Below are 23,991 nucleotides of genomic sequence, written 5' to 3'. Positions count from 1 at the left end.
GATCCCTAACAGTCCAAAACTTTTTAAGATTCCTGGGATAGAGTTTGTTCTTTCTGGGCTTAGAGAAGAAGAGGTGGTCAATCTGCAGGGTAAAGAAATAACTGATTGTCCCAGAAGCACACCCTATTTCTCTGTAGCACAAAGCAGCAAGGCAATTTAAATGAGATGGTGTGTGGAAAAAGCATGGCACTGCGCCAAAGGCTTATATATGTTTTAAACCTTCAACAAGGTTTCTATGCCCCCTTCGTATATGCCTTATATGAAGCCTTCCACAACACATAAACAGCTATTTATTTTTAGCCATCATTTCACTTGCATTACCCAGCACTTCCAACACAGCCCCTGACAAACAATAGGTACTCAATTAAAAGGTGTGTAATGAATCACAATTTCTTTGGCTCTCGATTTCTCTAAGATGGGTATTGTAAGATCTGACTTCACAGACTCTTCCAAAATGAGCTAAAGAGCCTAGAAAAAATAATTTTATTTTGCTTCCCCCTCCCCCGCGAGAAAGATGAACTCACTCCCTTCTCCAGTGTGATCTTCTTTGAGTCCTGTATCCCGCCACGTGGCTCACCGGTAGCCACACAGAGTGTGCACTATGCAGTCTTCAACACACACACATCTTCATTTAATCTCTTCTTTGAAAACATCAGACAAAAATTTTATTGGGTGGTTAAAGGAATATAAGCCTCCTAGATCAAAGCAGCCAACTGGTCACCCGGCCTTCCCAAATTGAGGCTGCCGTTCATTAGAGCTGCTTGGTTAACCACATCCACCTCCCCCCTATAACAACATCCCCAGGAAACAGATTTAGAAGTCCTGGGAATTGCAGGGAAAATCTTTTCAGGTAACCTTCTGTATTAAAACAGCAGACCATGTCTTGAAAGATGAGTGGGGCTATAAAAAACAGAGGTTCCTACAACCTGAGGCAGTCCCTAGGCCCCCTCAGAGTCTCACATGGAAGGACAAGCTCTGCTGACAATGCTTTTTCTTTAAACAGATGGGCTGTTCCTTCCCAGACATTTTTGGACTAAAACCTGAACATTCACTTTCTTTGCAATTGTTTTTGTTGCCTGTGTTGTTTGCATTCTCTTAATTCTAGCTTGAAGCACGTCCCGCAGTTCTCATACTTGGTAACATTCAGCTTCCTCTTCTTCTGCAGGTTGCAGGCAGGAAACTGGAAAATGGGCCACAGGAAACCTGGCCTCCTACATCTGTCCCACTTTGTCACTGCAGCTCTGGTTTCATTTTGTCTTGTGTTTTAGCTCTGTTTTAACCTTCAGTACTGCAGCCCAACTCTGCCTTCTGAAACAACACTGAGGTTCTTATCGCCCAAGAAAACTCAGAATTTTTGTTCCTCCCCAAAGTAATTAACATTGTGAATTCAACAGGGAAAAAATACTAAGCAGATTCTCCTAAACAGTAGTCATTTGGATCAGAAAAATGATTCATTAGATGTAATAAAGCTATTAATAAATCCACAATGAAAATTAAAGACTGTTTCATAATACTGGACACAGAAAAGTTTTTATTTTGTATTTCCTGTGATTAAGGTCAATGGAAAAGCACAAGTTATTTTAGGTAAATATGGTTACTAGTGGTCCAAGGCTGCCTGATGAATTTTAACTTGCTAGGCTTTGATAAATAACGTACAAAAATAAGCTACAATCATATTTCATTATAAATATCACATTGTGATATATTTCAAATTGTTTCATAATATCACAACTATTAAGTTGAACTGTAAGAAATTATTCTTTTTAGAGATCAAAACTAGTTAAATACCAGCAATCTCATATATTCAACCTAAAATATATTCACATACATAAAACTGATACACACACACACACACACACACACACACACACACACACAAACACACAATGACATCCCCAGGGCAGTTTCCTCTTCACATATTTGGTCCATGGACCTTTCTGACAATCTAAAATTCTCTAGGAAAAATATACAGCTATACAAAATACACATAATTTCACCAGGATTTATAAAACTCTAAAAATAACTTATAAATTTCAAATTAAGAGCACTGTTCTAAGAAAACGTTAGCTATTAATATATCCTCCACCACCAGCAATGCTGAGATCCCATGGAATTCTGAAGAACAGCGCCCATACCTAAAGAAATCCATTACTTTATTAAATAGGAGCTTTTCTTTTTAGTGCAATTAAATTTGATGACCACTTACTATGTACCAGGAATTGTGCTGAGTGCTTTATACATGCTGTCTAAATTTAATACTCTCAGTTGGCTGTGCCCACGAGGAACTATGACTTCGAAAGGTGAAATAAGACACTCATGGCCACATGGGTAAAATGGGCCAACAGAGCCTCATATCCAGGGGCATCTGGCTCCAAAGTCCAGGTTCTTAATCAACGCGCATATGCCCCCAGTAGAGGCTTCTTTTCTCATATGCACACTTCACTGCTGCTAAGGGAAACGTCTCATTGTAATGCGTGGGAAATACATTCCTACTAGGAATCAAATCAGGACATTTCCTTGTTCATTTCTGGTGTTGCCTCATCTGTGTCTCCAGCTGCTCCAGTTGGGTTGTTTCAAGAAAGAATCTTTGAATCCACCCCATCCACCATTTTGTTAACCAGTGCCCTCCTTTCAAAGATCTGTATCGTGGTTTAAATAGGTTCAAGGTTCACCCAACACTAAATAAGCAAGGGTGGTTCTCGATACAAGTGGGCCGTTGAGAAGCTGCGTGTTCTGGAAGTCGGTGCCCCTGGACCTCCCACTCGGGGTGTGTGTGTGTGTGTGTGTGTGTGTGTGTGTGCGTGCGCCCGCGCGCAGGGCGGTGGAACAGGATGAAAGTCAGAGGAAACAGAAGTGAGCTAGCCTAGCCCAAGAGGGGCCCCAAACATGCATGCACCTCACATCACGAAACGAATCATGAGAAGCACTTCAAGTGTGAATAGGGACAGGCTGGAATCCCAGGGAAACCGTGCATGACAGGATCTGGCAAGGTCCCTAGTACCCAGCAGTGCCTCCAAAACTTTCCTTTAAAAAGAAACACCTCTAGGGAAGCCTGTTTCAGGTTCTAAGAAAGCAGTGTTTAGGATTTCATGGAGGACCACAACATGCCCCGAAAAAAACAGGCTGTTCCGCAGTCAGTGAAACTTACTAGGATCTTACAAACTGTCTTTCAGTTTGAGCTTTAAATTAATGAGCTCTCAAATCCCCAGTGGGCATCTGGCCCCCCGACCCTCATACTACTTTTGATTCTTATGTTTCAGAGGCCTTTGCTTGAATGGAAAATCTTTTCCCCAAATTTTTGTACTATTAATATCAATACAATTCAATCCTGTGTACAACAGAAAAAAAGTTGGGGGAGGTCAAGATAAACAAATCCTCATTGCAGCCAAAACCTTAAAAAGTTGTGTGATCTTCTGTGCCTTGGTCAAATGTAGGAAAAAAAAAAAAAAGGAGAAAAAGTCGTGTGAGCTACAGCAGGGATGTTAACTTCTGTATTTCAACCTTCTCCTCTGTAGAAGGGGTAAAGTCAGTCTTATCCTTTACATACTATCAAACTAAAAGACTTCTTGAAAGTATTTGAAAGTAAAAATATGTAATCCTTTTGATCAGTACACTGTATAAATGATCTTTATAATAAGGATGGAACAATGTCTTCAGCTTTAAAGACAGCCTTGACAGAAGTATTTTCTTAAATCTATGGTTGTCAATGTAAGAAAATGTTTATTTACTTACTTTAAGATGGTGTTACAAAAATCAAAATAAAGGAAATCTTACAGACCACTTCCACTAGAATGAAACCCTAATCTTTCTGATAAACTTGAAAGATTTTCTGTGCTAAAGAAGAAGCTGATGAAAGTCGAAAGTATTTACCCAGTGCAATGAGAACCTTTTTGCATGGATACAAAATGATGGCGGTTTTTCCACATCCAGAAACTGAAACATTTCCTGCCAGAGCATCCTCCAACTCTTCTATTGTGTTGAAACTGTAAAATCTTTCTAAATCAGGACTTCCTCCTATTATGCTTTAGAGGCGTCTTTCTGGGAAGGGTAGATCCAAGGCAAAAGGTAGGAATTCCTGCAGCACCACCCAGTGGAAACATTACAAAAAAAAAAGCAAGATAAAATATGTTTAATAAAAGAAAATCTCATGTGTTAGCTCCTCTCTCAAACTCTTTTTGCATCGATGGCATCCTGCAATCTGTTGTGCTTACAAATGGCCTTTAACATCACGTCTGCCCTGTCTCTGTTTTGCACGTGTGCACACACGCTGCACCACGGCAGGGTCAGGAAGGATGGTGCAACCCTGGGGAGGAAGGGGTCCCAGGTGGGGTCAGGTGTGGGCTGTGACATCACCCCTTCCTCTCAGAAGGATCCCCAAGGGATCCTGGGGACCGGGAAGTCTGCACAGCTGTGCTGGGCACCCCAGTCCTGATGCAGCAATGAGTGTTTCCTGGCAGAGAGGTGCCCAACCATCTGTGCACCTTCCCCTTTCCCTGGCCCAGCTGCACCTGGCCCGGGACCTCCAACATCTGCACAGCCATTCTACCTCCCTGGTTCTATCTTGGAGAGAGTTATAGAGCCTCTTCCTCCCCTTGCAGCTCCTTTCTCCAGTCCCTGCAAAACTCCCTCTGGTGTGAGCATGACTTCTGCTCCCCTGTCCTACCAAGGCCACAGTGCATCTCATAGGCTCCTTGGAGGTCATTTAAATCTGGTTGCACTTCATTTACTGCCTCCACCAAAACTCGTCTCTCCTCACCAGTGCCTGCTTCTCACAATGCATGACACATCAGGCTATAATTTTCTTGGGAACTGGATGAAGCAACAAGAACTCTTGACCCTCTCCCTTCCAGCTCCTTCACAGAAAGCCCTGGCAGTGGCCTGGAGAAGGAGAGACGCCATTGCATGCTCTTCTCAGGAAAACTGGGAACTTTCTTATCTTCTCTATAGAATTTAAAATAACAAAGTAAACTTAATCATTTCTGGATGGTTAAGTCACTAAAAAAACCTGCCCTCTGGCTGGGTGCAGTGGCTAACGCCTGTAATCCCAGCAATTTGGGAGGCCGGGGTGGGTGGATCACCTGAGGTCAGGAGTTCCAGACCAGCCTGGCCAACATGGCGAAACCCCGTCTCTACTGAAAATACAAAACTTAGGTGGGAGTGGTGGCGGGCGCCTATAATCCCAACTACTCAGGAGGCTGAGGCAGGAGAATCGCTAGGAGCTGGGAGGCGGAGGTTACAGTGAGCCAAGATCATGCCACTGCACTCCAACATGGCAACAGAGCGAGACTCTGTCTCAAAAAAAAACAAAAAACAAAAAACTGCCCTCTAACATCAGCCTACCTGGAAAAGTTACCTTTCTCCCTTCGTAGAGTAAATCCACTGAAACTATTTTTAATCCCTCTTTTAAATGGTACACAGATATGGCAAAGGATAACAGTTGGCTGAGCTAGACACTATTTAGAGGATACAATCAGTGTTAACACTTTACAGCATATTTGAATTGCTGATAATTTATTATACAAAGGGTTAATTGCATTATTCATCTTTTCTTTCTTTTTCTGAAGTTTAACATTTGCCAAAACATGTCAAGGTTTAGTTGGATAATACTGACATTACCCAGTCTTTGGGTCCCACTCTATACAGTATTCTTGCAAAAATGGTTATGAGTTACTGGTATTCATGACCGAGGGATCACCATCAACATCTTTAGAGGTTTTTGAGAAGCACAAAGAGCTGCCTTACAGAGGTGGTTCCTGAAGCAAGGAACTGGTTAGTTTCACTGTTTTTCCTTCGTGCTCTTCTCAACAAAACTCTTTCATGGTTTAGGAAATGCAAATTCCAGGCATAAACATTTATACATAAATCTGGTATGGTAATACATTCGCTTTGGAAGAGAACTATAAAAAACAGTGACTCTGCAGTCTTCAACATATCATCACCTGCTCATGTGGTGGACATGTGTGTGGGATTTTAACTGCATCTGAAGTCACAAAGGTAGTCACTAGCCCTTGAATAGCTTTACCCTCCCCACATGCCTATGTCTCGCTCACATTTTTGTACAATGGACATCAAGTCTAGCTGCATATGATGGTTATGGTGCCAAATGCAGAGGGATTCTAAGTATACAGCACCTCTAATAAAGTTAATTTTAACAGGAAGTAAAAACACAGTGGTGTTAAGGTAAAAGTACAAGCACAGCCCTCTCACCTCTCATTCAATGTCTGTTTAAACCAAACCCGACTTGTAGACAAACAACTGTAAGTGGAACACATTTTAAAACAGCTTGGTGTTCCTGGTGGGTACTGTTATTTCCAAAACTTGCAAAAATAAGACAGTGAGTGATTTCAAAACTTAACAGTCTTCTCATAATGCCTCATATTTCAAATAGATTTTTAAATTAACCATCAAGATGCACTGAATAAATGAGCAAAATAACATTAAAACTGTCATCGAGGGGCAGACCAACCGTTCATTCATTCATGTCCAGAGAATGGTGTTATGCAAAGACCACCAAAAGCATCTGATGGAAGAGACTGGCTGTTGGTGGCATTAACATCAAACATCAATCTGTACCCCAAAGCATCCTCGCTGCCCTTAATTCCCACATGGGCATCTGCCATCCACTGGCTTGGGCAGTCCCTTTTTGAAATGTCATATACAACTTATTACTCTACCTGCTCTTCCAATAATTGTTCAGCGTGAATATATTAACTGTACAAAATAACAGCCAGATCCTGCTTTAGAGGATCTTTTTTTTCCCTTGTGAAAGAAAATCGTGGCTCACACCTGTCATCCCTGCACTTTGGGAGGCCAAGGCAGGCAGATCACGAGGTGAGGTGTTCAAGACCAGCCTGGCCAACATCTCTACTAAAAATACAAAAATTAGCTGGGCATGGTGGCGCACACCTATAGTTCCAGCTGCTTGGGAGGCTGAGGCAGGAGAATCGCTTTAACCTGGGAGGCGGAAGTTGTGGTGAGCCGAGATCGCGCCACTGCGCTCCAGCCTGGACAACAGAGTGAGACTCTGTCTCAAAAAAAAAAATAAATAAATAAAAGGGAAAGAGAAAGAAGAGAAAGAAAAAGAAAATTGCCCCTTTCATTAGGTAAAATATTTGAATCATCTGGTGCACGTCTGATCTACATCAAGGTTTTAAAGTTTCTCCTTTCTGAAAGACAAACTACTAGGCTTTAATATTTAGGTTTAAAAAAAACACACAAAGGATGTGGCAGAGGCTGAAGGAAGATGCTGTTCTTGTGGTTCAGCTCTGATTGAAATCAAAGCAGGGCAACGAGCTTATTTGAGAGCCGTGACCCCCAATCCTTTGAGAATTCACAGTACACTTGGGTCATCTGATTCAAGATGCCTTCAAGCAGCATATAGTTTTGTCATTAAAGTAATACACTTAAAGAAAATTTTAACACTCTTCAGATTACTTCATTTGTCACCAATCCAGCATCGAGAATTAATGGTACAGCAACTAAAGGGGTGAATTAAGTGAGGACAGAAACGCCAAGTGGCTGACTGGCTCTTCTGTTTTTGCCTCAACTATCTAAGATGAAGTCAGTCCATCTATGGGCATTTTTGCACTGGGCTATGCATGCAGCAAAGATATGATAACATCTCTCTGCCCGGAGTTTAATCAGTTCTAACCCTCACTCGGGTGTCACTTGGAGCATTTCAAGGCATTTGTTCTAAACTGCTTTTTCAAAAAAGAAAAGAAGAGCTGGGTGTAGTGGCTCAAGCCTGTAATCCCAGTGGATTACAGAGGGAGGCTGAGGTGGGAAGATCATGTGAGCCCAGGAGCTCGAGGCTGCAGTGAGCTATGATTGTGCCACTGCACTCCGGCCTGGGTGACAGAGCAAGATGCTGTCTCTAAAAGAAAAAAAGAAAAGAAACCATCCAATGCCCTCTGGTCTAAATGATCAGTAGCTGGGGCTTGAAAAAATCTACAGGAATGTTAGCAGAAATAAATTGCCTCCCAGTGCTCACGAATTCTAGTTGCCAGAGGGTTTCAAGATCATACAAGGAAACTGAGGTACTGCACCTCACACACAGTCCCAAAGATAATACTAAATGGTTTGGTCCCCTCTCTGTATGTTCATAATGGGATGTGCTGAGGTGATCAGGAATCTATGCTTTCTTCTTTCCTGCAAATTCTGTAATAAATCTAGGTTCTCTCCTGACTTCTCGTTGTGAAACAATGATTCTTCAAGGGTGGAGACGGTTAGTAAACATTCACTTATGCTCCTACCCTCTCACAGAACCAGGGCTTCAATCCTACATGGGTAGTGACTCTGCAAAGAGGAGCAGCACCAACTGAAGTCACCTATTGTCCCATTCTCTCAGACACAGACCTCCCTCTTGCAGCCCACATCCGTAAAGGCGCATACACACTCCTCACCTTCCAGGGCATAGCCCTTTCATCTGTGAATCAACTCCAACAAGGATTTGCATCTGAGCCTCTAAAGGCGAGCCTTCCAAACTCCAATAAGGGGATGAAGAGGGGAAGTGACATTTCCAGTTCAATGAGCGTTAACCAGAGAAATATTGTTAACTTTTAGTGTTAGGGAATCATTCTAACATTTACACCTCCTTTTCTGGCTTAATAGAATAGTATGATCTTCCTGAGCCTCAGGATCATTAACTCTGAGGATGATGACAACCTACAGGTGCAAGCAGAGGAGAACTCCTACTGTTGATTCCCACAGAGAATTCCTGCAGCTACCCTAGAATAATTTCGGGCTTATTTTGATGTTGCTGCTGCTGCTGCTGTTGTTGATGTAATCTCTCTATTCTGACAATTACGTGCAAGGAGAAAAATCTCCTTAATCATACATTCCGCTTAGTCAAGGTTTGACCTATCAACAAATTGCTCCTTGGCAAAACCCAGCTGAAATTTATTAGGAGACCTAGTCCTCCCCCGTTTGGGTGTTTAGTCAATCAAGTCTTCATAATCACGTAAGCAGAATCTTTTGTTATTTCCAAACTCAATCAGAAACATCATTAATTTCAAAAAGGTATAGATGGAAGCTACACACACAGGTTTTCTATAAGTAAAGAAGGACCCTGAACTGTGGATCTTACAGGATTAAAAACTGGTTATCCAAGGGAACTACGAAAACCTGATCAACTGAAGTCTTTAATAAAGGACTAATGATGGTTGCTCTACAATGATTAATTCTATAAAAAAAAAAACTTTACATTGAGATTCTTTCAACATATCCTATCCCACGAATAACTTTACTGTTAACCGACCACTCTCAGTATAGTAACACTGATACCAACAATAGAGCCAAACCCTGTCCTCCAGGATACTAGCAAACTAACCTCATTTCTATATATCCACTTTTCTTGCAAGTCTAAACAAGAAGTATGGGAAGTGGCATAGAGGAGCTTTTTGGCTGTCTTTATGGGTTTTCATTTTGAGACACAGTCTCGCTCTGTTGCCCAGGCTGGAGTGTAATGGCACAATCTCGGCTCACTGAAAGCTTCACCGCCCGGGTTCAAGCGATTCTCCTGCCTCAGCCTCCCAAGTAGCTAGGATTACAGGCATGCGCCACCACACTCGGCTAATTTTTGTATTTTTAGTAGAGATTGGGTTTCACCATGTTGGCCAGGCTGGTATCGAACTTCTAACCTCAAGTGATCTGCCCGCCTCGGCCTCTCAAAGTGCTGGGATTACAGATGTGAGCCACCGCGCCCAGCCTGTCTTTATGGTTTAACCAAGAGATCTGCCTATTCATCCAAGTAACTCATTGTCTAGAAAAGAGATGGACATATGCATAGCAACAAACGGCTTTATCAAGTCCAAGGGCAAAACAAGGTGGGGCTATATTGACAAGCTCCCCCCAACCCCCGCTTCAGATTATTTTTAATTCATTGAGTGCCAGGTATTGTACAAAGTGCTGAGATAATACAAAGGATGAGAAAAACGGACGCAGGCCCAGAGGGAGCTCACAGACTGATGGCACCGCAGACATGCAGCACATGACACAGACACGTGCAGGCATCCCCCAATATCCAAATCGAATGGGACCGCAGTTACGGACAGTAACTTCAGATCATGAGGGATGCCATGCTATCACATCTATTTGGTTCCCGGGTTTTGGAGAAAATAGCATTAATGAATAATGAGGGGCACCAGCCCTATTTCAGAAAGATGTCTCTAAAACTGTCTAGTTCCTGGCCAGGTATGGTGGCTCATGCCTGTAATCCCAGCACTTTGGGAAGCTGAGGCGGGTGGATCACGAGGTCAGGAGTTCGAGACCAGCCTGGCCAGCATGGTGAAACCCCGTCTCTACTAAAAATACAAAAATTAGCCAGGTGGGGTGGCGCATGCCTGTAGTCCCAGCTACTTGGGAGGCTGAGGCAGAAGAATCACTTGAACCCAGGAGGCAGAGGTTGCAGTGAGCTGAGATCACTGCACTCCAGACTGGGCGACGGAGCGAGACTCCATCTCATGTTCCTGTGTTTGGGTAACAAGAATTTGGAGAGAGAGAATTCAGGTAATGAGGCAACCTGTAAATAAAGCCTGTGGTGGCCAGGCATGGTGGCTCACACTTGTAATCCCAGCACTTTGGGAGGCCGAGGCAGGCGGATCAGTTGAGGCCAGGAGTTTGAGATCAGCCTGGCCAACATGGCGAAACCCTGTCTCTAATAAAAACACAAAAATTAGCAAGGTGTGGTGGCACAAGCCTGTAATTCCAGCTACTTGGGAGGTTGAGGCAGTAGAATCTCTTGAACCCACATGGTGGAGGTTGCAGTGACCCAAGATGGTGCCACTGCACTCCAGCCTGGGCAACAGGCTAAGACTCCATCTCTCAAAAAAAAAAAAAAAAAAAGCTTGTGGTAAGGGCTCTGAAGGCCAGGAGCAGATGACTGAGGGAGATCTACTCTAGGTGACAGGAAAGGCTTCCCCAATAAAACATGGTGGAGCTGAGTGTGAACTAAAAGACGCCTACAAATTGGTTAGGCATGGAGTCTGAAAAATAGAGGGGTCGGGGGGAAAATTCTGTCAGTATTGACAAAGACCCAGTGGACAGAGGGCAGAGGACACCTTAAGCATTTGAGGAACTGAGGAAAAGTCAGTTTGCTGGCCCAAATCACATCTTGCAGCTTGAGTTAGGGGTTTTGGTCTTTATCCTAAGCTGAAGTCACTAGAAGATTTTTCAGTAGAAGAATGACCTGGTCAGATCTGTGTTTTGAAAGGATTGTTCTAGCTCCTGGGGAGAGAAGGGATCAGAGCGGGTGCAGAGGAATGTAAGAACCCTCAAGATACAGCAGTGGGGGCAGACAGCACTTTCAAAGACTATCAGAAGGAAGGAGGAGGAATTTCACCAGGTGACCAAACTCTTATCTGGTGCTACAGAGCACCAACTCAGACAGTCACTGATGTCCCCAAGAATGAGGTGGCTGTGGGTCATTAGAAATCAGTGCTGCCTGTCACAAACCTCAAAAGACTAGGAGGAAAGGAAGCATGGCAGCTAATACTGGCCTTCCACTGGAGTGTTCCTTATTCAATAAGGGGCCAAAATGGAATTCAAGGGGAAACTTATGGAGATCCCCCTTTTCCACCACAAAATAGCTGTTTGTTTAAATTCCTGCATATGTCTATAAGTCAGATGTCTGGAGATGACAGCAAGAAGTTCATATCACACTTTCACAACTCTTAGGAGTCAAGACCTTTCCTCCAAATATAGCAGTACACAAATAGGGCTTCCGACTTGAAAGGGAGTATATCTCAGCTTCTCCACTTCAATCCCTTTTTTTTTTTTTTTTTTTTTTGAGACAGGGTTTCACTCTGTTACCCAGGCTGGAGTGTAGTGGCGCAATCATGGTTCACTGCAGCCTTGACCTCCCGGGTAGCTGGGACTACTGGCACGCACCACCACGTCTAGCTAATTTTTGGCAGAGATGGGGTCTCACTATGTTGCCCAGGTTGATCTCAGACTCCTGGGCTCAAGTGATCTGCCTGCTTCAGCCTCCCAAAATGCTGGGATGACACATGTGAGCCACTGCACCCAGCCTCCACTTCAACTACTTTACCATCAGGCTAAAGAAACTGAGGTCTGGGAAGATTTACTAATATCCTCTCATCCCAATTAGTCTTCAGGTAATACATTTTTCCTAAAGCACACATATTACTTTTGGTTAAATATTTTGCGGATATCAGGTAATACAGAAAGGATTTTTCTTTTTCCTCTTACTGTATGATGAGGAAATCTACACATTCTGATTTATTTTTAACTAAGCAGATTAAATAAAATACCACAATATTTTATCAAGGTATTCTGAAGTTTAAGAATCTATATGGTAGAATCATGAAATTGCCGTAACAGAATTTTGTAAATGGCCAGGGATAATGAGACCCCATTTCTACAAAAAATAAAAAAATTAGCCAGAGGCCAGGCATGGTGGCTCACTCCTGTTAATCCCAGCCCTTTGGAGGTGGAGACAGGCAGATCTCTTGAGGCCAGGAGTTTGAGACCAGCCTGGCCAATATGGCAAAAGCCCGTCTCTATTAAAAATACAAAAATTAGCCAGGCATGGTGGCATATGCCTATGATACCAGCTACTTGGGAGGCTGAGGCATGAGAATTGCTTAGACACAGGAGGCGGAGGTTGCAGTGCGCCAAGCTTGCACCACTGCACTCCAGCCTGGGCAACAGAGCCAGACACTGTCTCAAAAAGAAAAAAAAAATTAGCCAGGTGTGGTGGTGCACACCTGCAGTCCTATCTGCTTGGGAGACTGAGGCAGGAGGATCACCTGAGCCCTGGAGTTTGAGGCTGCACTGAGCTATGACAGTGCCAGTGCACTCCAGCCTGGGTGACAGAACCAGGCTCTGTCTCTAAATACATAAGCCAAAAAACACTTGGGGACATGGAAATATTGTCTCTTTGGGTAGGGTTACATGTATGTATACAATAACACTTAAGATCTGCGCATTTTAATATATGTAAATCATACCTCAACTTAAAAAAAAGAGAGAGGGGAAGATACCAAGAGCCTCGTTTTCTTTACTCTATTGCTTGGAGTACAGGAGCCCTAGCTTCATCAGTCTTAAGAGAAGGTCTCCAACAGGAGGAGTAAGTTCTCGTGTTCTATAGCACTGCAGGATGCCTATAATACTATATAGTTTCAATTAACTAGAAGGAAGATAATGGATGTTCCCAACACAAATAAATCATAAACATTTGAGATGATGGATCTAATTACCTCGATCTAATTACTATACATGATATATATGTAAAAAATCACTATGTACCCCATAAATATGTACATTTATATCAATTTAAAAAATAAAAAGAGAAGGTATCTAGATAAGTGTTTTATACCTATCCCATCACTCCCATATTACACATGGATATTCAGAAATTGTTCTTAGCTATAGAAACTTTAAGCATATTTATGACACTATGTGTCATAAATAGATCCTTGTTTTAGAGTGTGTGAGTAAATTCATTTCAGTCTAATTCAAATTAGAATACACTAATATAACATTGTCTAAATTTCTTTAAAAATATACAAGTAAAGCCATGTTATAATCTTATTTAATTCTTAGAAAAAAGTAGTACTTTCCAGGAAATGTAAATTAATACATAGCAATAAAGTAGTCAATGACTTTATTCCTAGTGGGAATTCAAACCAAATCACAATTTATTGAAATGACTAGTTCAAAGTTTACTTTAAAACTGCTGACATATATGTAAATCTCCAGTAATGGATGAAAGGCAATTTTTATTTTGGTTTCAGGCAGGAACCATGGGGAGTTGAATTTCTGCACAGAATAGTTATTTAAAAGACTGAGTAATCTACCATTTTTGAAGACATTTAGAATTTCACAGAAGGTCACACACACACACACACACACACACACACACACAGCTAATTTTATTTACTGGGGCTGCTCTATAAGTGGCAAAACTAGAGTTTTCATGGTCTCACTGCCATGGTTTCAATCAAAAGGCTGAATGACCTCAATTCAAAGTGGCTATGAACAACAGCAATCTTGAGCTAAAAATCAATTTAAAACACCAACTTCAAAGTTTGGAAACTCCACTGATAGAAAATGAAACAGTAATAGGAGTTGTTAAAATGTACAAAACACACCTTCCTCTCCCTTCATAGTTGGATAATTTCAAGGTATATTTTCAGTTTAACCTGGTTTCTCTTCATCATTTAACATTCTATTTTCATGTGTAGTGCCCTGTACTTCCTGTTACTACATCTTGATATTCTACTGCAAATCATGACTCATCCTTAAATCACAGAGAAACTCATCAAAATCCAAAATTTCACAGCACATAGGAACTCAGTCTTTCAAGAGGGCAGCATTCTTAGAACATTACTTGAACCACAGAGGACAAAAAACACTGAACAAGTCTATGAAGAAATTATGTCAATCCATGGTTGAGCCAACACATTTATTAGATCAATAAATAGAAGCTCTATGTGATAATTTCGGTCTCGGTACTAATTATTAAAATGTGTTACATGTTAAGTGAAAAAAGTTATAAAACAGTAAGTACAGTGTGCTTTCAATTAAAAATGGTATGTGCATGTGTGGATATACATAGACACACATATGCATTTTTTTAAAAAACTGAACAATTACACATCAAAAGGTAAACAGTGGAATTATGGGAGATGTCTATTTTTTTATAGCAGTTTTCTGTATCTTTGTAAGGCAATTCACATTAATATTTTTTACAATAGGAAAAAAAACAACCAACCTTTAGAAGATACTATTCTGCTAGCATGGTCTCAAAGTGTGTTATAAGTCGATCTATACAGGCAAAGAGGAATTAAAGATAACCAGGACATAAAAAACTTTTGCCTGAAACATACAAGAAAATCTAACAAAAATGGAGTCCCCTTCCCCTCTCATCTGCGTATTTATGTACAGAACCTTAGGAAAGGGTCAGAAGACAGTCATCTGGGCTCTACAGCCAGAACAAAGCCAGAATGGACAGACAGCCCATTTCTTTTAAACTTTAATGAGACAGCTGGTACAGAGGTTCACACCTGTAACCCCAGCTACTGCGGAGGCTGAGGTGGGAGCATCACTTGAGCCCAGGAGTGCAAGGCCAGCCCTGGCAACATAAACAATTAAAAAAATAAAGTTTCATGAGGAAGTCCAGGTCTGGGAAACATGGAGATGACTGAGTCATTCCTTAGAATTGGAAGGCAACAAAACTAACGATTAGTAAGCAGCAACTCACCCTCAGTGAAAAAAGACTCTACTCCAGGAAGTCACATTCTTGGATAGTTTTCTATGAAGTGTTTTGGGTTGTCATCAGGTCATGTTTTGCAACATTTCACAGCACCATACTGGTCTTCTGAATCAGATAGATATATAAATATAATTGGGTCCCACAGAACACACAAAATCCAATATCTGACAGCTAAGAAGGGAATATTTTAATTTACATACACTGCCTGGAAGTCCTTTAAAACCAATTTCAGGAAAAGATTCAAGTTCCAAAAAGTTATTACAAATATAAATTTTAATATATGACCTCAGAGTTACATGTACTGTATATTAGCACTTTTGACTTATTTAATTTTTTATATAAGAAAAAGAGGAGGTCTTTAATAAATGTTTAGGTTAACTTCAAAACTCAAATGGAGCTGGCAAATCACTGCTCTCCCCTATCTGGACTACTGCCATTCTGGTCTCAACAGCATTGGTACCAAGTGCATGAAGATGCTATACTTGCAGAGTTTCAGAGATGGATGGCCTAATTCAGGACATAAAGGGTACACCATCACAAGGTCACCATCCGTATGTCACTCTATTATTGCATGTTACTGACCAAAAAGAGAAAGAGAAAATTCATGAATGCTATGTTACGTATGTGGCCAAAATTACAGATGATGACTTTTAAATGTCCTATTTGTTGACTGAATGCGTGTTAAAGAGCTTTCATCATCTTCATCATCATTAAAGTAAATAAGATTTTTCTCAATCCACTATAGACATTTTGGGCAAAAAAAATTCTTTCTTGTGCATTGTTGACTGGTTAGCAGCACCCCTGGCGTCTACCCTCCAGAAGCCAATGCACCCCCTTAGTTATAACAACCAAAAACATCTCCAGACATTGCCAAATGTCTCCTGGGAGGTAAAATTACTCCTAGTTGTGAACCACTAACGTAAATGAACCTATGTGTCCCAAATAATTACTTAGAAGGAGGAATTCTAAATACTCCCTTTTTTATTTAAAGGAAATGTACTCTGGAGAGAGTTTACAACCTCCATTCTTAAGGAACACTCATGCAAAATGTATGAGATCTCGTAAGTCTTTTTTCTTACCTATTATAAGTTTTGTTAGCCTACTCACAGCTTTCAATGCTACAATTTATTGAGCACCTACTCTGTGAAGGCATAGCATTAGGGACATCCTGTACTCATGTCCACTGACTCATACCCCGGTCGGGCTGTTTGGGCTGTTTTTAGGACAACTTTGCCACCGTAAAAGAACTGCCAACACCTTAAAAGCAACATGTCTTTGTCAATAAAGGGGCCCCATCATTCCAATCAGGTTCCTTTTGACCCTTTTTAGTAACGCCACACATTTCTACGCAACATTTAAATTAAAAAAAAAAAAAAAAAAAAACACTTTTAGAGGGCAGAAGGCCTTTGCTATATTTGGCATAGAAAGGCCATCACTTTTCAAACTCAGGGGGGTTTCTAGGCAGGATCATTACTGGAAACTCTAAGAACACTTATGGACAGTCTCCTTAACTGCCTGACCCATGTGCCCTCCTAACACAATTTGTAATTTTATCATCCTCATAAATTGAAACTCCTAACTGACCTTTTCCAAATAAATGGGTGCCATGGCGAGAGAGAAAGAAAAAGAGATCAGAGGGTATTTTGTAAGGCTCACAAATCGATTTCGGCTCATGAATAGATGCCTGGAACATGCTCCACACCCCCCCCACCCCCAAAGACAAGCACAGATGGAGAAGATGGGTGTGTGTGAGCTGCTTATCTCCCCCCACCTCTCAACACACATACACACGCGGGAAAGAAAAACCTGCAAATCTGAAATCCAAAATGGCCAAAGTGACTTCAAAGTTTTCAAGACATGTCCTGAAAAGGCTCGTTGGGCGGCTGCACCCCTAAGTAAATAAAGCCATAACTTGTCTCCTTCCCCAGCGCCGGGCTCCCAGGCTGACAGTGGCTGCACAAAACCCCTCCTGTGCCGAGCAGCGGAAACTCCTAATGAGATTAGTTGGTGTGTGTGCAGACATTACTTAGCAATGACTAAGGGGGCTCTCTCTTCCTGCAGCAGCCAGTGGAAAATTCAAGGAACTTTTTCCCCCTGCAGCAGCAGAATCCCTTTAACCCTCTCCGCAGCCAACTCCAAAAACAACTCAGCCTCCCCTTTCCCCGCCACCCCCAGGCTGGAGGACTGGGGTGGGGGTAGTTAAAGACCGGCCAGGGGCTTTCAAATGAGGGAGGGTGGGAGGGGGCTGGCGGGGAAGGGGCGGGGGACCCCTCGAACACTACAAAGGAAACTGTAAAAGGCACAAATACATAAACCTAAGAAGGAGCAAACCACAGTTTCTTTGTGAGCTCCTCTAGTGAGTCATTTTCAAGATGCTGTCTGCTGCCAGTTTCAAAGCGGAAGCGCATGGCAATTAGTCTTGCCGTTTCCAGACAAGCCAGAAACTCTCCCGACACTCGTTTTTTTTTCTTTCTAAAAAGCCCCTTTTGCAGTTTCTGAAATAACATTTCTTGCTTCCACCTCCACCCGCCGCCTAACTGCAGCTTGTCCCTAGGATGATTCGGTTCAGAAAAGATAACAAAACCAAGACCTTTTATTTTTGCTTTTTAACTACTCCAAAATCTTAATCCCGCCTCCCCAAAAGTTACAGTAGCGTCACAGGCCAACGTTGAGTTCGAAGGTAAACAGGGATGGGGAGTGGAAGGGGCCCCAAGATCATTTCTTGCCTGGTCCTTCTCCAAAACCATGCCCAATAGAGACCACCGGCTTTTAAATGTCCGATGGGGCGTGCGCCTGGGGCGGTGACCTGGGCGGGGGTCACCTGCCAAGCGAGAGTGGACGCAGCCCCCAGCCCCACACCTTCGCGACCCATGTCCTCCACCGCCCTCTCCATCCCTGTCTTCCTCCCTGGATCCGAGCACCAGTGCACTTTGCCCACTCGAGGGGAGCCTGACTGCGGTCCCAGCTGGAAGGTCGGCGGTGGTCCAGCCTCCAGGCACTCAGCCTGCTCCTGCCACGGTTCTTCCCAGGGACCCGAAGTCTCGCCGTCCCCCGCTCCCCGCGCTGCCTGCAGCGGGGCCCTGGGCGAGCTCCCAGGGTTGCACGCCCGGCGCCCCTTCCTCTGGGGTCGCAGCGCAGCCCCAGGGAGGGGAGCCGCGGGCGCAGGGTCCCCGCAGCCCCGGGCCCGGCGCGAGCTCGGGCGACGGCGGTGGCAGCGACGCGGGCGCAGGAGCATCCGCGGCGCCCCCTCCCCGCGGCCGGCCCTCCCGCGCGGACGCACCGCCACCCCCACCCCGGCCCGCAGCCCACCCCGCGGCGCCCCCCGCCCCACCCCCACCGCGCCCAAGAAAAGAAAGAAAAAAAGAAAACACCCCCAAACAAACTTTTTAAGTGTCCGAGCAACAGGCAGAAGCCCTGTTACCTACCCAGATGTGGGGGAGTCTTCTTCGGGGGGAATTTCTAGGAGGACCCGGGCGAAAGCCCCCGACTTTCCATGCTGACAGGCGTCTGCAGACGGTCTGTGGCTCTTGTAATGAGATCCTGATTTTTCCCCCTTTTTTTCTTTCTCTCGCTCCTCTTTTTTTTTCCCCTCTGGTGTGTGTGAGAGCAGGAAGTTGGAGCAGTCAGGCCGAGCCGGCTCACTTCCTTTACTGCATTATTCCCCAGGCGGTGTGCAGTCTGTGTAAACAGGCTTTTCCGCCCCGCGCCGCGCGCCCCGGCCGCGGCTGTGCGCCGGGGCTGGCCGCCCAGGCCCGCGCCTCCCCCGCCGCCCCGGCCCCGTGCGCGCCCCGCACCGCCCCCACCCGCCCCGCTTCCTGCGCGGCCACCCCGGGGAGGAGCCTCCGACCCGCGGCGACTCCGCGCGGCCGCAGCCCCTCCCCACGGGGAGGGGGGTCCGCCCGCAACCCGCAGAAGCCGCCGCGCTTCCCGGGACACCGGGGATCCCTCCTCACCTCAACCCCTGGGGGTCGAGCGCGCGGGGCACCACGACGGGGTCGTGCCCTGCGCAGTTGGCCCGGGAGGGGGGTCCCGAGGTGGGGAGGCGGCTGGACTCGCTGTTTCCCATCCGCTGGGATGGAAGAGTTGGGGGGCAGAGGGGAATCGAGAGTGGGGTTCAGGGTTTGGTTGCTCTGGGCAAAGGACTGCTTTTCTTGTGGGTGCGGGCACAGTTTCCGTCTGGGGTTGGAGATGGACACCGTTCCTGTCTGGGTTTTCGGTGTTTTAAAAGCCAGCCCTCGGCCGGGCGTGCTGGCTCACGCCTGTAATCTGAGCACTTTGGGAGGCCAAGGCGGATGGATCACCTAAGGTCAGGAGTTCGAGACCAGCCTGGCCAACACGGCGAATCCCCGTCTGTACTAAAAATACCAAAACAACAACAACAAAAACAGCCAGGTGTGGTGGTGGGTCCCTATAATCCCAGCTACTTGGCAGGCTGAGGCGAGAGAATCGCTTGAACCTGGGAGGCAGAGGTTGCAGTGAGCTGAGATCGCCCCATTGCACTCCAACCTGGGCAACCAGCGAAACTCCGTCTCAAAAAAATAAAAAAGCCAGCCCTCAGTTGGGGGGCGAGCCTGTGGGGAAAGGATAAGGAGCCACAACACTGGAAGTCATGGAAATAATGCCCGCAGGGTCAGAGACTGAGGCTTGAAGGGAGCCTCTGTGGTCTCAGAACTGGTCTTCACACCTCCACATCCCTCAAGGAGGTCCTGCCTCTGAGGGCTCAGGCCAGGCTCTGATGGGAGAGCCTGCCCATTGCCCTAGGCTGAGACAAGGTTGGGGGGGATGGCTGTTGAAGAGCCTCTCCCTTCCCAGGCCTGCGCCCCAACCTCACTGCTCACCTTCCAGAACCTTCCATTCCCATGCCGCCACTTAGCAGCCCAGACCCCTGGTTTTCAAACTTGACCCAAGGGGCTTGTTAAACCACTAGTGGCTGGGCCTCTCCTGGAGTCCCAGATTCAGTAGGTCGGGGGTGGTTCCGGGCCCCGGCTAATGTCAGAATCACCTGGGGAGTGTTTTGACACTCTCCAACAATATACTCAACCCAGGCCAATTAAGTCAGATTCTCTGGGGGCCGGGTGTGAGTCCTTTCAAAAGGACCACATTCTAAGAGTTCCTCCACTACGTTTGTTTCTAGTTTTGCAGTCTCTCCTGAAAGATTATTTTGTTTACAAATTTCTCACTGCCATCAACTGTGAGCTGCTAAAGGGCACGGGGTATGTTTTACTGATTAGTACCACATCCCAGCTCCAAGTGCCTATCAGAGCACACAGGTGATAGGAATTTCCTTCGGGCATTTGCTTCAGGGCTCCTGTGGGTAGTCCACTGGAAAGGGTGGGAGAATGCCCTCCAGACCTCTGAGAAGGAGTGGGAAACCCGTGGGGTGTAGGGTGGGGGCACGGTAGGAGAGTGGGGCAGAAGGAGAAGATATGGAAAAGAGGGCTGCTTATCAACCCCTGATTTCCCACAGCTAATTTTCCAATTAGGGTATTATTGTTTTAATCCCCAGTCATCTTCTTCTGTCACTCAGTAGAACACCTATGGTGTCCCTATATGATCCAGCTGTTGGACTGAGAGAATGTAAACTTATTATCCTCAGGGAAAAAAAAAAAATCCACACAGTTAAGAACTCATGTTGCTTTGCTTTAGGAGATATATGCCTGAAAGAAACCGGTCTGAAAAGGCTATGTTCTGTATGATTCCAAACTATATGACATTTTGTAAAAGGCACTATGGAGATAGTACAAAAGATCAGTGGTTGTCAGGGGTTAGCAGGGAGGGAGGGGTGGACAGGAGGAGCACAGAGGGCAAGGAAACTACTACTCGGTATGATACTATAATGGTGGACACATTTGTTAAGACCCACAGAATATACAACACCAAGAATGAACTCTAATGTAAACCATGGACTTTGGGTGATAGTGATGTGTCAATGTAGATTCAATTACAACAAAGGTACCACTCTGGTGGGGGATGTTGATGATTGGGGAAGCTGTACACGTGTCAGGGCAGGAGGTATATGGGAAACCGCTGTGCCTCCTTCTCAGTTTTGCTGTGAGTCTAAAATCACTTTAGGGTTGGGCATAGTGGCTCACGCCTGTAATCCCAACACTTTGGGAGGCCGAGGTGGATGGATCACCTGAGGTCAGAAGTTCGAGACCAGCCTGGTCAACATGGTGAACCCCCATCTCTACTAATAATACAAAACTTAGCCAGGTATGGTGGCAGATGCCTGTAATTCCAGCTACTCAGGAGGCTGAGGCACGAGAATTGCTTGAACCTGGGATGTGGAGTTTGCAGTGAGCCAAGATCAAGCCACTGCACTCCAGCCTGGGTGACAGAGTGAAATTGTGTCTCAAAAAAATTTAAAAAAATAAATCACTTAAAAAAAATAGTGAAAAATAGTCTAGGGGCCAGGTGTGGTGATACTACTCTCACCTATAATACCAGCTACTCAGGAGGCCAAGGCAGGAGGATCGCTTGAGCCCAAGAGTTCACACTCCAGCCTGGGCAACAAAGTGAGACCCTGTTTCTTTTTCTCTTTTTTTTTTTTTTTTTTTTTTGAGACAGAATCTCACTCTGTCACCCAGGCTGGAGCACAATGGTGCGATCTCTGCTCACTGCAACCTCCACCTCCCGGGTTCAAGCAATTCTCCTGCCTCAGCCTCCTGAGTAGCTCGGATTACAGACACGCACCACCATGCCTGGCTAATTTTTGTATTTTTAGTAGAGACGGGGTTTCACCATGTTGGTCAGGCTGGTCTCGAACCCCTGACCTCGTGATCTGCCCACCTCGGCCTCCCAAAGTGCTGGGATTACATGTGTGAGCCAGCGCACCTGTTCAACCCTGTTTCTTAAAAAAATAAAAAATACATACACAAACATATGAAGTATATGAAGTCTGTTTTTTAAAAAAAGTATATTCAAAGCCAAACATTTTAATTCAGTGATTTTTATGCTTTTATTTTTGCACAATAAATCTTTGTAGAATCCTAACATGTAAGGGAGCATGTTTTTGTCAACCAGTTTTATTGTTTTGAAGAAATACCTCATCTAAAACACTTCTGACACACTTTTGGGCAGCTTTAGGGTTTCCCAGCCCATATGAAATCCTGATAAGTTTCTCTGGTATTTTGGATTGTCCACACGACTACTCTCAGCTCCTCACATGCATGGGTGATTCAGAGCTGACTCTGGTCTTCCTCAAAGCACAGGGCATAGCTTTTATTTTCAGGTGTCGGCAGCTTCTGTTCTTTGCATTCTAAGAGAAAGCTGCTATTTGTTTTCCATGCTTTCCTTCCCACTATCAAAAAGCAGCCAAGGCCAGGGGAGGTGGCTCATGCCTATAATCCCAGCATTTTGGGAGGCCGCAGCAGGCGAATCACTTGAACCCAGGAGTTCAAGACCCGCCTGGGCAACATGGCGAAACTCCATCTCTCTACAAAAAAATACAAAAATCAGCCAGGCATGGTGGTGCATGTCTGTGACCCCAACTACCCCAGCTACTCAGGAAGCTGAGGTGGGAGGATCACCAGAGCTCAGGAGGTCTAGGCTGCAGTGAGCCGTGGTCACACCACTGCATTCCAGCCTGGGCAACAGAGCGAGACCCTGTCTCAAGAAAAAAAAAAAAAAAAAAAAAAAGCAGCCAAAAGATGTGGTATCTGCTATTGCATGATCCACACTCCGCTTTCTATGCTTTTGTTTTAAAACAGCGAGGAGTTAGGACTGAGAAGATTTCAAGTAAGAGTTCTTTAGGAGCCCTTTATAGCAAGTGACAGAGCCCAGGGTCATATATTTTGGCTGGCCAAGAAACAAGTGAGACTCTCTCAGCTTTAAAAAGAACAGCTGAGATTCCACCAGAGATGATACGCAAAATCTGTGTGTTTGAGGAATGAGAGATAGTGATGTTCTGGAAGGTACACAGGCAGGGTCAGGGAGAGGCAGTATGAAGAATGGAAGAGGGCTAAGTCTCAAAAAATAATAATATTCATCAAAGCCTGGTTCCAAAAGAAGGGGTGTTTTAGTCAGCTTCTGCTGGGATAATATCACGTAACAAACAACTCCAAAACTTAGTAGCTTATGGCAACAAGTGAGTCTAGGTTGGCTGGGCTTGGCTGGGCTTGGCTCCAGTCTGCAGGCTGAATGCATGTCGGCTTCTCATTTCTAGGACCAGGCTAAAGGAACAGACACCACTTCAGACGTGGTTCTCAAGGAGAGTTGGAGCTCAAGTGGGGGTGAGTGGAAACGTGATGCTTCTTAAAACCTCTGCTTAGGACTGACACACTCCCACTTCTACACTTCAACATCCTACAACGTATAACAGAATGGGATGCTATCAAAAGTAAAGAAAAAAATTACAGATGGATGAGAAAACAGAGCGGGAGAAGAAAATTAGTTTTACAATAAACCAAACTAAAATTTACAGTAAACCAAGCGGAATAAATAATGTTCGAAGCTTATGAATTGCTGAATTTCTGATAGAAGCTCAAAAGGGTTTGCCATCACTACCTTCGAAGACTGCTTCAATACTGGGGGGCTAGGAGGTAGGGCTGGGAATGAACAGCCAAAGCCTGATGGTAAGACAGCCCACTCTGGTGGAATGTGTACATTTGGAATCAGGAATTTGGGAATCCAGTCCCATACCTGACTTGTTCTAACTATGGGACCTTGACTAAATCACTCACCTTCTCTGGGCTGGAACAAGTGTCAGTTTTTACTGATGTTTCCACTGAATGCCAATTTTACATTAAAATAACGTG

At 44.6% G+C, this 23,991-nt stretch overlaps 1 protein-coding gene across 11 annotated transcripts in view, besides 3 other annotated features; it reads right to left on the bottom strand.

Moving 5' to 3' along the window:
* Nucleotides 1-18,991, bottom strand: part of ELK3 (ETS transcription factor ELK3) — a 75,450-nt gene extending 56,459 nt beyond the window's left edge. For 8 of the 11 annotated variants that reach the window (NR_182213.1, NR_182214.1, NR_182212.1 and 5 more), the window contains exon 1: nt 18,661-18,991. The gene's annotated coding sequence lies outside the window, so the exon portion shown is untranslated. Of the gene's footprint in view, nt 1-524; nt 639-15,223; nt 15,341-18,660 lie in introns of all 11 variants that reach the window. The other 3 variants (NR_182215.1, NM_001413761.1, NM_001413760.1) reach the window with 2 other exon arrangements.
* Nucleotides 2,742-3,264: an enhancer, noted in NCBI's record as "H3K27ac-H3K4me1 hESC enhancer chr12:96603880-96604402 (GRCh37/hg19 assembly coordinates)". NCBI's record gives its function as "activates a minimal SCP1, AML or CMV promoter by ChIP-STARR-seq in naive H9 embryonic stem cells {active_cell/tissue: H9 hESC(naive)}" and the evidence as "EXISTENCE:reporter gene assay evidence [ECO:0000049][PMID:30033119]".
* Nucleotides 17,616-17,695: an enhancer, noted in NCBI's record as "active region_6825". NCBI's record gives its function as "activates an Ori minimal core promoter by ATAC-STARR-seq in GM12878 lymphoblastoid cells {active_cell/tissue: GM12878}" and the evidence as "EXISTENCE:reporter gene assay evidence [ECO:0000049][PMID:35858748]".
* Nucleotides 19,027-19,166: a silencer, noted in NCBI's record as "silent region_4741". NCBI's record gives its function as "represses an Ori minimal core promoter by ATAC-STARR-seq in GM12878 lymphoblastoid cells {active_cell/tissue: GM12878}" and the evidence as "EXISTENCE:reporter gene assay evidence [ECO:0000049][PMID:35858748]".

The sequence above is a fragment of the Homo sapiens genome, chromosome 12, assembly GCF_000001405.40.
Source record: "Homo sapiens chromosome 12, GRCh38.p14 Primary Assembly".
NCBI lineage: Eukaryota > Metazoa > Chordata > Mammalia > Primates > Hominidae > Homo > Homo sapiens.
The sequence above is the reverse complement of the archived record's forward strand: the minus strand, read 5'-3'. Positions and strand labels throughout refer to the sequence as shown.